Source organism: Homo sapiens, chromosome 2, assembly GCF_000001405.40.
Source record: "Homo sapiens chromosome 2, GRCh38.p14 Primary Assembly".
NCBI classification, from domain to species: Eukaryota; Metazoa; Chordata; class Mammalia; order Primates; family Hominidae; genus Homo; species Homo sapiens.
Window position 1 is genome coordinate 216,061,357 of NC_000002.12, and position 14,843 is coordinate 216,076,199.

Sequence of the window (14,843 nt, forward strand, 5' to 3'; positions counted from 1 at the left end):
ATTGGATAAAAGTACATAGGAAAACAGTATCTTCACATGGTCTCAAAGTATTATCCACAGATTACTTATAGTTTACAAATAGAAAAATGTATCTTTACAACAGAAAGGTTTGGTGGTCAGAATCTTAGACAAGCGAAAAAATTTAAGATGACCAATAGTAAAATCACCTTAACAACAGACTTACAGGTGTAATGCAGTAAGAAGTATATATACCATATATGAAGGGGTCTTGCCAGAAATATTTAAGTGAATATAATCACCACAAAACAATTAGAGAAATCCAGAATTTGGAACATTCTATAAGTCACTGTTATGAAATATAAAAAGTATGGATTTTTTTTAGAGTACAAGAAACTAAAGAGACATAAAAAAATGCAATACATGAATTTGAAAACATCTTGGATTTTAAAAGCTGGGAAAACAATTAGGGAAATTTCAATAAGGACTATATAATGAGTGATTTTATTGAATTACTGTGAATTTTCTTAGGTGTAATAATGGTATTGTAATTATATAGAAAACATGTGTTTATATTTAAGAGATATATAAACAAAGTACCTTTGTATCTGTAATTTCCTTTCAAATTGTTTATTTAAAACGAGTGTGTGTGAGTATGTGTGTGTGTGTGCATGATTGTAGAGAGGGAGAGAGAGAGAAAGAGAGATCATGTAAATGGGAATGTTAGTGCGTGGTGAATTTTTTTTTTTTTTTTTTGAGACAGAGTCTCACTCTGTCACCCAGCCTGGAGGCGCCATCCCAGCTCACTGCAACCTCCATCTCCCAGGTTCAAGCAATTCTCCTGCCTCAGCCTCCCAAGTAGCTGGGACTATAGCCATGCACCACCACTCCCGGCTAATGTTTGTATTTTTAGTGGAGACAGGGTTTCCCCATGTTGGCCAGGCTGGTTTCGAACTCCTGACCTCAAGTGATCCGCCCACCTCGGCCTTCCAAAGTGCTGAGATTACAGGCATGAGCCATCACGCCTGGCAATGCTTCATGAATCTAAATGATAGGTATACAGAAATCCATTGTATTATTTCTTCAACTTTCCCACAGATCCAACATTTTTCCAAAAGTAAATTGGGGTAAAAATTCCTGTATCAGTAAAATGAACAATAAAAGTCTATAGGAAAGTCCAAATTCACCAATAATTTATATGTGGATTTTCTTCACAATTCTTTAACAATAGCATATTGTGTCCCAGGGTACAAGCTGAAACAGACTGGGTCGGGACTTTAGGGCAGTCATCTTTTAAATCATTTTAATTGCATAAGTAATATATGGTCATATTAGAAAAAGTAGAAAGGGCAGAGAAGCACAAAGAAAAAAATAAAAATAATATGTAATTTTGCCTCCTGGAGGTGATACATGTCAATACAGTCATGTGTCACAACAATGTTTCGGTCAAAAACAGATTGCATATATAACAGTGGTCCCATAAGATTATAATACCACATTTTTACTGTACTTTTTCTATGTCGAGATACACAAATACTTGATGTGTTACAATTGCCTACAGTATTCAGTACAGCAACATGCTATACAGGTTTGTAGCCTAGGTGTGTAGCAGGCTATACCATCTAGGTTTGTGTAGGTACACTCCATGATGTTCATACAACAATGAAATTGCCTAATGACACATTTCTCAGAACAAATCCCTGTTGTTAAACAACACGACTGTATTTTGGTATAAATTTTTTCAGAATCATTTCTATTCATATATATGCACACATAAATACATACTTTTTTTTAACAGAAATGTGAACATGTTGGATAAAATATTTCATAACTTGCTTTTCTGGCAGTGATATCTGGCAATATTTTTTCATGTTAATGAGTACATTTTTATGTCAATATTTTTAAGGGCCGCATAGTTCTTTATCATATAGATGTATAAAACTTCACTCAACTAATATTTTACTCCAGAATATTTACATGGTTTTCAGTTTTTCACTATTATTTTCAAGATACAGAAAAATATGGCTGGGCACAGTGGCTCATGCCTGTAATCCCAGCATTTTGGGAGGCCGAGGTGGGTGGATCACAAGGTCAGGAGATGGAGACCATCCTGGCCAACATGGTGAAACCCCGTCTCTACTAAAAATATAAAAATTAGCCAGATGTGGTGGTGAATGCCTGTAGTCCCAACTACTTGGGAGGCTGAGGCAGGAAAATTGCTTGAACCCAGGAGGTGGAGGTTGCAGTGAGCAGAGATCACGCCACTGCACTCCAGCCTGTGTGACAGAGCGAGACTCTGTCTCAAAAAGAAAAAAAAGAAAAATATAACTTATGAAAAGTAAAAACTAAAAGCCCCAAATAAGTAAAAGCAAAAATAATAGGCCTTGTATTTGTTTTACTTTTTTTTTATTTATTTATTTGAAACAGAGTCTCACTCTTGTCACCCAGGCTCAAGTACAGTGGCACGATCTCGGCTCACTACAACCTCCGCCTCTCGGGTTCAAGAGATTCTCCTGCCTCAGCCTCCCAAGTAGCTGGGACTACAGATGCACGCTGCCTGGCTAATTTTTTTTCTTTTTTTTTGTATCTTAGTAGAGACGGGGTTTCACCGTGTTGCCCAGGCTGGTCTCAAACTCCTGAGCTCAGGTAATCCGCCCGCCTCGGCCTCCCAAAGTGCTGGGATTACAGGCATGAGCCACCATGCCCGGCCAGCCTTGTATTCTTTAATTCAGTTTTGGCTAATAAAAATCATGGCTGAATTTCAATTCTGTAGACTTTTAATTGACAGTTGTTAGCAAGGTATCTTGGATTGGTAAGACATTGCTGATTTGCCTGTTAGAAGGAGTGAAAGCACAGAGTTACAAAGCTTGGGTTAGAGACCACTAGATGTCTCCCAATACTCATTCTCCCTTTCTTCCATAGAAATAGAATTTGTTTTAGGCACATAGCTGCCCACCTAAGGACTCTATTTCCCAGTTTCTTTTACAGCTAGGTATGATCATTTAACTGAATTCTAGCTGACGAATGTGAGCAAACATCATGGTGCTACTTCCAGATGGTGCCCATAAAAGGAATGGGTGAGCACTACCCTTTTTCCCCATTCCTGTTGTCTGGAATGCAGATTTGATAGCAAGAACTGGAGCAGCCCTCTTGAATCATGAAATGGAAACCACAGGTCAAGAACAGTGGAGCAATAAGAAGGATCTTCAGTTCCTAATGATTATGAAACTACCATATAATCCTTACACTACCTACCTGGACTTTTTATGTGAGAAAAATAAACTCATATTCAAGCCCTGTTGTTTCTGGGTTTTTCCACTGGAACAACCCAACTTGTATCACGACTTAGACAGAGGTTGATTCTGCTAGTTAGGTAGAGATGTCTGCAAGACCTCTGACTTGTAGATACTAAGAATATAAAGCCTAATTCATGTTGGCATGAAGACCCTTTGAGATAGGGTTGTACTTGTTCTGTATTTTTCATCATAAGAAGATTTGGGTAGTTTTTACAAAATCTCTTGAGTTACCCAACTCAGGAGTTCAGTACTAACCACCCACGAAACATGACCTTTAATCCAAAGACTATGTATGCATGCTAATTAGTTGTTAGAGAGCATACAGACTCTGTCTCTGGTATTCTCCCTGAATTTATTAATTGGTTCTGCTAAAAGATTTAATAGATTCATTCTTAAAAACAGAGTAAGTGTGAGAGTTTTCTCCAATTTTATGAACAAATTAATAGCTAAATCTATGTACAGATCATTAATAATTTTCTCATAATAAATTCCAAGAAATAAAATGATGAGATTGAAGGATATCCACATTTTATAAATATTGCCAAATTACTATACTGAAATGTACCAATTTACATTCCTATGTTGTAAGTGAGAAAATCCAGCCAATAAATGTTAATGACATGGGGCTTCTGAGTCCCTAATAGGAATCCTGAGATCTCTAAATAAAGACATGTTGACTTGTGGATACTGATGGTACTTGCCTGCTTTGCACATGTAGAAGGTACCCGTCAGGTTGGTCTCAAGCACAGCGTGCCATCCCTTAGAACTGATGTGTTCAGCAGGGGAAAGAAACTGGCCTCCTCCATTGTTCACCAAGAAATTGATCTTACCAAAAGTATCTAAGGTAGATTTGACCAAATTATTCACCTAAAGAAGAACAGTAGAAGTTACTAAAAGGAAAAGTTTAATAGCCTAACTTGCTACCTCGCCTGATTGATTGCTCTAGACAGAGTTTGCAATCTCTCACAGTGAACAGTCACTCCAAGTGCCACAATGAATGAACATGCAGCAATGAATAAGACTAAAAATCCTACACCAATGAGTAATGTACCAGCACCCAATACCCACAGATCACAAAGCTAAAACTGTAATTTTGACGACAAGATATATCCAAGGGCCTGGAACACCCTTGAGTAGGGCAGGCCTCTGTCATATATTAATTTGACAGCTACCAACCCAGAATAAACAGTGATGAAATCAGATTAAAATGAACATTAAAAAATGACTTAAAGGGCAAGGCACGGTGGCTCACACCTGTAATCCTAGCACTTCGGGAGGCCGAGGCAGGCAGATCACCTGAGGTCAGAAGTTTGAGACCAGCCTGGCCAACACGGTGAAACCCGTCTTTATGAAAAATACAAAAATTAGCTGGGCATGGTGGCATGCACCTATAGTCCCAGCTACTCAGGAGGCTGAGTCAGGAGAATTGCTTGAACCTGGGAGGTGTAGGTTGCAGTGAGCCGATATAGTGCCACTGCCTTTCAGCCTGGGCAACAGAGGAAGACTTTGTCTCAAAAAAATAAAAATAAAAATGAAGACTTAAAGGACAAAAGGCCATCTTTAGCTGGACCACATTCTTGCCTCCCTTCCTCTCCTTCTCCAGGATTCGCCGGCTCAGTAAATCATTAACATGAGAATCTCTTTCACAGCCTCTGCTTCTAGTGAGCCTCATCTAAGACAGCTACAATAGGAGAACCTGAAGCATAGCCAGGTTTAAGAAACACTACTGCAAATTACAATGAATGAATAAATGATACAGATATATCTCCATTACCTCCTCCTCATTCCGGATGTTGCATTGTATGGGAATGACTCGTGCCTGCTTTGTGGGAGGTAGGTTGGCCTGCAGTTCATCTGCCGCAGACTTCAATCTCTCCAACTTACGGGATGCAATGACCACATTACTCCCTGAGGAGAAACAGCCAGAGAACAAATAAATATGCCTTCATGGGATGCAATGACCACATTACACCTTGAAAAGTAAACCGCCAGGGAACAAATAAATATGCCTTCATGAGTTGTCCAAATTCCAACAATAATAATATTGAAAAAATATATCATGTGTTCCATTTTTTAAAGTATTTTTTATTTTAGAGTCAAGGTCTCACCCTGTTGCTCAGGCTAGAGTGCAGTGGCTTGATCATAGCTCACTGTAACCTTGAACTTCTCCCGGGCTAAAGCAATCCTCCCACCTGGCCTCCCAAAGTTCTGGGACTACAGGCACAAGTCACTGCACCTGGCCATGCGTGTTCCTATGTCTTAAAAAAAAGCTGAATTAGGATTTTTGCTTCTGGACAAGATGGAGTAGTAGAAACTGAATTTGCCCTCCATCCTGAAATAACTAAAAAATTGGACAAAATATATGAAATGATGGTTTTCTGGCACTGGACATCTAGTAGCACTGGATGGTCATCTCTGGGACAGTGAAATCAAACATGAGCCCTTGGATTGCCCCAGCTTGCTGCCTGGAGAAAGGTTCTACACTGCAGCAAGGGAGGGGAACACATTCAGAGACCAAAGTCTCCCTGGCGGAAGAGATGAAGTTGGGAGTCTAGGGAGCCAAGGCAGTGAGATTGCCCAGGGGATAGGGAGAAAAGATATACAGAGAGCGAGAACTCCAGAGATCTGCAGAGTCTCTCTGGAATCTTCACCTGAGTACCAATCGATGCTTGGGAATAAATCAAAGAGGAAAGAACTACCAAAAATGGGCAGGGAGATCAAACCCTGGCACTCACACAGCACTGGGAATGGTTAGTGTGCCCACCAGAAAAAAACCTTTCACGGGGCATTCGGTAAAATATGCAGAAGCAGATGGCTTCTGCAGTGAGGCAAAATTCACCATAGACTAAAGGCTGCTCAGATCAAGCCTCTTTTAGAGTATCAAATTGTTTTCAAGTGACCTAACTGTATCCCAGAACAAAGCTCAAGAATATATACATATTTTTTCTTTTTCTTTTTTTTTTTTGAGACGGAGTCTCACTCTGTCGCCAGACTGGGGTGCAGTGGCATGATCTCAGCTCACTGCAACCTCCACCTCCCGGGTTCAAGTGATTCTCCTGCCTCAGCCCCCCAAGTAGCTGCGACTACAGGCGTGCACCACCAGGCCTGGCTAATTTTTGTATTTTTAGTAGAGATGGGGTTTCACCATGTTGGCCAGGGTGGTCCCAATCTCTTGCGCCTGTCTAAGAATATTTATAAGAATATAAAAATAGCCAACATCCATCAAGGTCAAATTCAGTATATGGCATCCAACAAAAAGAACTACCAGGCATGCCAAGGAACAGGAAAATAGCAGCACATAATTAGGAGAAAAGTCAATTAATAAAAACAGACCCAGGCCGGACGCAGTGGCTCACACCTGTAATCCCAGCACTTTGGGAGGCTGAGGCGGGCCGATCATGAGGTCAGGAGTTTGAGACCAGCCTGACCAACATGGTGAAACCCTGTCTCTACTAAAAATACAAAAAGTAGCCAGTCCTGGTGGCATGTGCCTGTAATCTCAGCTACTCAGGAGGCTGAGGCAGGATAATTGCTTGAACCCGGGAGGCAGATGTTACAGGAGCTGAGATCGCCCCACTGCACTCCAGCCTGAGTGACAGAGCAAGACTCCATATCAAAAAAAAAAAAAAAAAAAAAAACCGGAACCAGAAATGACACTGATGATATAATTAAATAGACCAGTGATGAAGAGAAAAATCTTAAAAGCAGCCAGAGAAAAACAACACATTAAGTATACAACAAGAAAGATAAAGACTTCTTTCAGAAACAATGCAAGCCAGAAGACACTGAAACATCTTTACGGTATGGAAAGCAATGAAAAAGATGGTGAACCTAGAAATCTTAACCCAGTGAAAATATCTCTCAAAAATGATGGCAAAATAAAGACTTTTTCACACATATGAAAGCTGGAAGAATTCATCAAGGTGATCTGCACTACAAAAAAGATGAAAGGAAGTCCTTCAAGTAGAAGGAAAATGATGCCAGATAAAAATCTAAAAATATACAGAAGAAGAAAGAGAACTAAAAATGGTTCGTGTGTTTGTTTTTGAGACAGGGTCTTACTCTGTTGCCTAGGCTGGTGTGCAGTGGCGATCTTGGCACACTGCAGCCTTGACCTTCCAGGATCCACTGATCCTCCCACCCCAGCCTCCCGAGTAGCTGGGACCACAGACATACACCACCATATCTGGCCAATTTTTTTTTTTTTTTTTTTTTTTTTTTAGTAGAGATGAGGTCTATGTTGCAGAAATAGTAATTATGTGAGTAAATATAAAGACTTTTCTTGTTTCTATTCAGATCTCTTTAAAGGTATAGTTCAAAGCAAAAATAATAACAACATATTGTAAGATTTATAACATATGTAGAAATAAAATGATTCCCTCCTTCTCCTTGAGAATAATAGCACAATGGCTAAGAAGGGGAAATGGAAGTAGAGACGGTCCTTCTTTTGCTCTGCTCCAATATGCTCTGATTTCAGTTAGCTTAGCTTAAAGACACCAGTCTCTCAACAACATGGTTCAAATTTCAACAACCATGGTATATTAACTGTAACTGCATAAAATGCAAACTTTACTGCTAGCTTTTCAACCCACAAATCATAAATAACAGATGCACATCAAGATCAGTGATTAATCATGTCATTTCTTCCAGCGTCTATCAGTGAATGCCCACTGTGCATCTCTTCTTCAGTTCAGAAGAGCTCAGACAGCAAATAATATAGCTGTGTCACCTCCTGGTCTTTCAACAAGAAACCCAAGTGACATTTTATAAAAACACATGATCTAAGGGGGGACTGGCCAACAAACATGAAAAGTGAGACCAAGAAATGAAAATTTGTAACACTGGAAGCGAAATTAGAATGCATGTCAGGGGAATTATAAAAGGGGAATGCGTGACACTGCTGCCAGTCTAGAAACTACAGAAAGCCAAAAGATCTTACTGAAGGCAAACTTAACATCATGAGGAAAGTGCCTGTGACAAAGAAGATGAAGATATCCCAGAGGAAGTGATGCCCACAAAAAACTTCAGATTAAAGACACTTTTGGGGCCAGGCATGGTGGCTCACTTCTGTAATCCCAGCACTTTGGGAGGTCGAGGTGGGCGGATCACAAGGTCAGCAGTTCGAGACCAGCTTGACCAACATGGCAAAACCCCTTTTCTACTAAAAATACAAAAATTAGCCAGGTGTGGTGGTGGGCGCCTGTAATCCCAGCTACTCCGGAGGCTGAGGCAGGAAAATTGCTTGAACCCAGGAGGCAGAGGTTGTAGTGAGCTGAGATCGTGCCATTGCACCCCAGCCTGGGTGACAAGAGCAAGACTCTGTCAAAAAAAAAAAAAAAAAAGAAACTTTTGGAAATATTTCATGACATTGAAAGTATAAAGGATAAAATGTTGGAAGCTGATCGAAACATAGAAAGGAGTACAATAATTTAACAAGGTACAGAAAAAAATGCTTGCTCTATATCATAAGGTATACAATGAGAAGGCAAGCACTAATCGAATGACTCGACACACTTCACATGAAAATAAAACAGTTTAATTTTCAATACTGAGGTTTTTAAATTTTTATTTTTAACTGACAAATAACTATACATCTATGGGGTAAAATGTGATATTTTGATATATAAATATATTGTGGAATGATGAAATCAGGCTAATGTATCTATCACCTCTTATCATTTCTTTGAGCTAAGAACCACTTTGAGCTAAATCCACTATTCTCGGAATTTTGAAATACACAATGCATTACTAACTATAGCCATCATGCTGTGCAATAGATCATCAGAACTTATTCCTCCTGTCTAAATGAAACTTTGTACTCTTTGACCAACATCTCCCCAGTGAAACTGGTCTACTTTTATTATTTTTTTCATGTCCCTCTGTGGCAGACTGCCATGGTTACTACTTGAGACCGTCACTACGACAGTTACTACTGTTACTACTTACTATTTGAGACGGTCATTACGACACTGAACGAAGGAGGATGAACGCAGAAATGAAAACTTAAAACAAAAGAAACTGTTTTAAAGGAAGGGGCCAGGGGAAGAAGAAGAGGGTTCCCTGCTTCTACTGAGTAAAGGCAGCAACCTTGAGCTCCTACGGCCTTTTGTATTTATTGGGTAGAAAGAGCAGGGAGGAGCAGGTAACATTTGGTCAGCTGCTTAACTGATCACAGGTTCACATTATTGCTAACAGGCTTCAGATGTGCCTCATCACAAGAAACACTTGCGCCTGGGTCGTGACTGCCCTCAGCATTCCTTCAAGGGTGGCAGACGCAGTTTGTCATTTGCCAACATTCTGCATTTATGAGAACAGTTTGCTGTTTGCTCATATACCCTCCAGCGGTATACTGAGTTGATCACGACCCTCACTCTTTCAGCCTGCAACATCTCTCCCTTTTTGTTTTTGAATTAATTGAGACAGGTAATTGCAAAATGTGCAGCCTTGGTGGTTCATTCCGTCTTCGCATTCAGCTCATACTGGGGGAACCGGGCCCATGGTTGGGATCCATGGGTCGCTCTAGTCTCCCGTTCTGTGGTCGCACACACCTTGAGGGCACCCACACAGTTTGTTCATCTCCTGCAAAAACGCAAGCGTACCCTTATCCCCACGTCAGTAAATCTACCAAAACAGAAGCAAAGGCTTTTGTGGCTGTGGCCAGGAGGCATGCCGTTGCCAAAGCATCTGCTCCACAAGCTGTAACTCAGCTTCTGCCTCTTTGGTTAATTACCACGGGGTAAACTTCTCATTGATAAGGAGAGGCAGGCTCTCTCTGATTAACAGAAGGCACATGGAAAGCAAATTGAAGCTCATCCTTCTCGTGCAACAGTATAGCAAAGAAAAAAAATCATTAAGCCTTCAATTTGTACTGTACAGGTGAGTCCATTAAATGTTATGGGTTGTGATAGATAAATCTCTCTCCTAGTTGTACTTTCAAATCCTTGATTCCCTCGCTTCTCCCTTCGTGGAGAAGGGTGCAACTTACAGGGAACAAGCAATAGTTGTGCAATATATTCTCCTGGTTCAAAAACCCAAAGTTCTTGTGACATTACCACTACTGGAATTTCCTCTTCACAATCAAAATCAACAACTCCTGGGGCTACAGTAACGCCCTGCAAGTTAAGATGACTTTTGCCCAAAACTCTCTATTTGTCTCTATTTAACTCTACCTCTATTTCTATTTATCCCTACTTATCTCTATTTGTCCCTGCAGGCCTCTTTAGGTCCCTTCAGGTCTCTGTTTGTCCCTGAAAGTCCCGTTTGGGTGCCACTTTGACAAAAATTTTTGAAGGTCATGAAATAATTGTACTTTTTCCCATTGACTATTTTTGCTTTGAATGGTTTCAGCTTGCATGATCATTGTTACAATGCCACAATGCCATGCAAAAGCAAAGACTACCTATGAACTGTTAAGTGGTTCTTTTACATATATATTTTAAAGATGAGGTCTCACTGTGTTGCCCAGGCTGGATTGCAGTGGTTTTTCAGTGTTAAATTCTATGTGAGGTGATACAGTTATAGGCTGTTTTCACCCTAATACAGCATTTCACTGTATCATAATTACCTGTTAATTTAACAGTCTGCTCCACTCACTGTCATCCCCTGGGAGGTAGGGACCCTGTAATTGCTCTATTTGTTAGGCTAACACACAGTCCAGCATATACAGGTGGAATAAATAAAGTTCACAAAGGCACAGAGTACAAAGGCTCTCCATTTGGCCTGAACTATTTTAGTTGTATAAGATAAGCTAGCTACTGCATATGAAAATAAGGCACTTTATTTTATTTCTTATCTTTATAGATGTAGGGGGGACAAGTGTAGTTTTGTTACATGGGGCTTTTAGTGTATCCATCACCTGAATAGTGGCCACTGTACCCAACAGGTAATTTTTCAACCCTCACTCCCCTGCTTCTACCCTCCCACCTTTTAGAGTCTCCAATGTCTGTTATTCTACTCTGTATGTCCATGTGTACCCACTCTTTAGCTCCCACTTATAAGTGAGAACATGCACCATTTGACCTTGTTTCTGAATTATTTTAGTTAGGATAAAGGCCTCCAGTTCTATCCATGTTCCTGCAAAAGACAAGATTTCATTCTTTTTCATGGCTGAGTAGTATTCCATGGTATATATAACATATTTTCTTTATCCAATCATCCACTGATGGACACTTAGGTTGATTCTTAACTTGCTACTATGAATAGTGCTGTGATAAACATACTAGAGCAGGTGTCTTCTTCATATAGTGATTTATTTTCCTTTGTAAACACCCAGTAGTGGGTTTGCTGAATTGAATGGCAATTCTATTTTTAATTCTTTGAGAAATCTCCATACTGTTTTCCATAGAGCTTGTACAAAATAAGACAATTTTAAAAACTATGTTTAAAGTTTAGGTTATAATTTAGTAAACTAAAAATGGTAACAACTTTTGGAAATTCTCGTGTGCAATCTGAGGGTTTTATAAAGCAAAAATTGGAAAGATTCACCATAAGTTCCTTGTAAGCCTTGCCTAACTTTAAAATGGAATTTAATTTATCAAAATATATAATGTGCAACAAAAACATACGTTATACTGTTAGGAGAAGCTTACTCCTTTCTCCTTTTGTTTCCAGGAGGGCCCTCTTCTTCCAGCAGGAAAAATAACTGAAACACAGTCACACACCCCATAACAATGTTTTGGTCAATGATAGACCACATGTATGGCAGTGGCCTCATAAGATTAAAGTGGAAGTTAAACATTCTTATCATCCAGTGGTGCTGTAGCCACTGTAATGTCATAGCTGCAATTACTTTATTTTTTTATAAATTTAGTTTAGCCTGTGTGTACAGTGTTTATAAATTCTACAATAGTAAACAATAATGTCTTAGGCCTTCACATTCACTTATCACTCCCTCACTAACTCACCCAGAGCAACTTCCAGTCCCGTAAGCTCCTGTGTCCTATACAGTGCTCTATACAGGTGTACCATTTTTTATATTTTATACCATATTTTTACTATATCTTTTATTTTTATTATATCTTTTGTATGTTTTTATATAATTTTATAATAAAAATACCATATTTTTATTATATCTTTTGTATGTTTAGATATGTTTAGACCACAGATATTTACCTTTGTGTTACTATTTCCTGCAGCCTTCAGCATAGTAACCTCCCGTACAGGTTTGGAGCCTAGAAGCAATAGGCTATTGACCATATAAACCATGTATATAGTAGGCTATACCATCTAGGTTTGCCTACCACTCTATGATGTTCACACTATGATGAAATCACTTAAGGATGTATTTCTCAGAAGATTTCCCTGTGTTAAGTGACACATGACTGTATATACTTCTAGACTAATCCAACACTCAGTTAGGTTTCTGTCACTTAGGAGAAATAGCTGAGCTTATCAGTGAGATGGAAAGGAGAGAAATAAGCACCCCAGGACAAGCCACCACTTCCTCCACCCACTTCTTTCTTTGATATTTCTGCCTTCAACATACACATTTTTTGCTCTAGTTCCCAGAGTAGGGCATAGGCTCTATAGGGCAGGGATGAAAAACTTTACCTAGGCTGGGTGCAGTGGCTCATGCCTGTAATCCCAACACTTTGGGAGGCCAAGGCCGGTGGATCGCTTGTATTCAGGACTTCAAGACCAGCCTGGGCATCATGGTGAAACCCCACCTCTACTAAAAATACAAAAAAATTAGCTGAGCATGGAGGCACACGCCTGTAATCCCAGCTACTCAGGAGACTAAGCCACGAGAATTGCTTGAACCTGGGGGCAGAGGTTGCAGTGAGGCAAGATTGTGCCTGGGTGACAGAGTGAGACTGTGTCAAGAAAGAAAGAAAAAGAAAGAAAAGAAAGAAAAGAAAGAAAGAGAGAGAGAAAGAAAGAAAAAAAGGAAGGAAGGAAGGAAGGAAGGAAGGAAGGAAGGAAGGAAGGAAGAAAGGAAGGAAGGAAGGAAGAGAGAGAGAGAGAAAACAAGAACACCAAGGTGATTAATGCCTAACTTTGTCCAAGACCTCGAGTAAAAAATATGTTGAGAATATAAATAGGATGATTCACATGGATTATCTAAATAGAAGTTTACTAAATTATAACTAGTTACTATCTGAAACCTCAAGACTTCAGGACAGTTGTCTACTACAAGTAAAGATGCACTGAAATACAACTTTACAAGTCCATTTACTTTCACTGCTAGAACTTTCCACTATAGACAAACTTGAACTAGGGTGCAAACATATTACAGGGAAAAACAATGCAATGCTGGGTAAAATAAAAACCTAAATGGCCATTCAGGAAATGGTTAAATAAGTTATTACAGACCCACACAATGGAATACTATGCAGCTTTAAAATGAATGAGATATGACTACAATACTACCATTGAAAAACACAAGATATGGGCCAGGCATGGTGACTCATGCTTGTAATCCCAGCAATTTGGGAGGCTAAGGTTGGAGAGTCGCTTGTGGTGAGTTCAAGACCATCCTGGATGAGACCTTGTCTCTAAAAAAATTTTTTTATTGCCAAACATTGTGGCACATGCCTATAGTTTAGATACTTGGGAGGTTGAGGCAGGAGAATCATTTCAGACAGGAGTTCGAGGCTGCAGTGAGCTATGATGACACTACTGTACTCTAGCCTGGGTGACAGAGCAAGATCCTGTCTCTAAAAAACAAAACAAAACAAAGAAAAAACAAGATATTTAAGTAGGAAAAAAAACCATTACAGAGCAGTAAGAATACTGTGATCCCAATTTTGTAGAAAACAAAATATATATACGTGTGTATACATGTGCACATTAAATTTGTAGAAAATCACCAGGAAGGGAATTTAGAAAAAGGGCAGAATGGGTAAAGCTCATTTTTTTCTTTTATACACTTCTATACTGTTTTAATTTATTGCAAACCTCTTATGCTACCTTATAATAAACTAGAAAAATATTATATATAATCCTTGCCTTTCATGCTAAATCATTTCAATAGACTTTATTTTTGTTTATATGTAGCTAGAGAGATGCAGAAAGCTCAACTGACCTGCTTAGAATAGGTATAGAAGTAGCTTGTGGATAAGGAGTTCTTTCAACATCAGAGGCTTGTAGCCCCAGTATGCTGCGTTCCTGCTTAGGCTGATACTGATCCCTTTCCATCTTCAACTCAGAATACTACATTTATTCAGCACCTTCTTGGTCCCTGGTGTTGGTAACAGGCTAGTTAGACTAGACTAGAGCAAGAAAAAATGTTGTCTTGGGTCATAATTTCCACCGGCATTTCCTAATTGCATTTTATCTACTATACCTAATTTATGTTCTACTGTAGTAACAGAAAGTGAATGATTAACTTGAAGATAAAAAAACATCTGATATGAATTCAACTTGACGATGCTAGGTTTTCCTTGATGAAATCAGGTTTCTCTCTGCCTAACAGCACCTGTCAAAGGTATAAAGGAGATCTAATTCTGCCTACAATATCCTGCTTTTGTGAGCTAAAGCTTTCTGTGTCCTCTCAGAAAAAGGAAAAGTCAAAATCCTGTGGAAGTGAAAGACATTGTTATATAAACCCAAATTGAGCAAAAAAGAAAATGTTAGCCAATTTTTTTCTTC

At 39.3% G+C, this 14,843-nt stretch overlaps 1 protein-coding gene across 6 annotated transcripts in view; it reads right to left on the reverse strand.

The window, feature by feature from the left end:
• PECR (peroxisomal trans-2-enoyl-CoA reductase) overlaps positions 1-14,843 on the reverse strand; it is a 52,722-nt gene that overhangs the window by 32,269 nt on the left and 5,610 nt on the right. For all 6 annotated transcript variants that reach the window (XR_007078553.1, XR_007078552.1, XR_001738847.3 and 3 more), the window contains exons 2-3: positions 5,029-5,162; positions 3,956-4,121 (exon numbers count right to left, since the gene is read on the reverse strand). Coding sequence is in view for 3 of the 6 variants with exons in the window: in NM_018441.6 (NP_060911.2) it covers positions 3,956-4,121; positions 5,029-5,162 (300 nt within the window). In the remaining 3 variants the exon portion in view is untranslated. The remainder of the gene's footprint in view (positions 1-3,955; positions 4,122-5,028; positions 5,163-14,843) is intronic.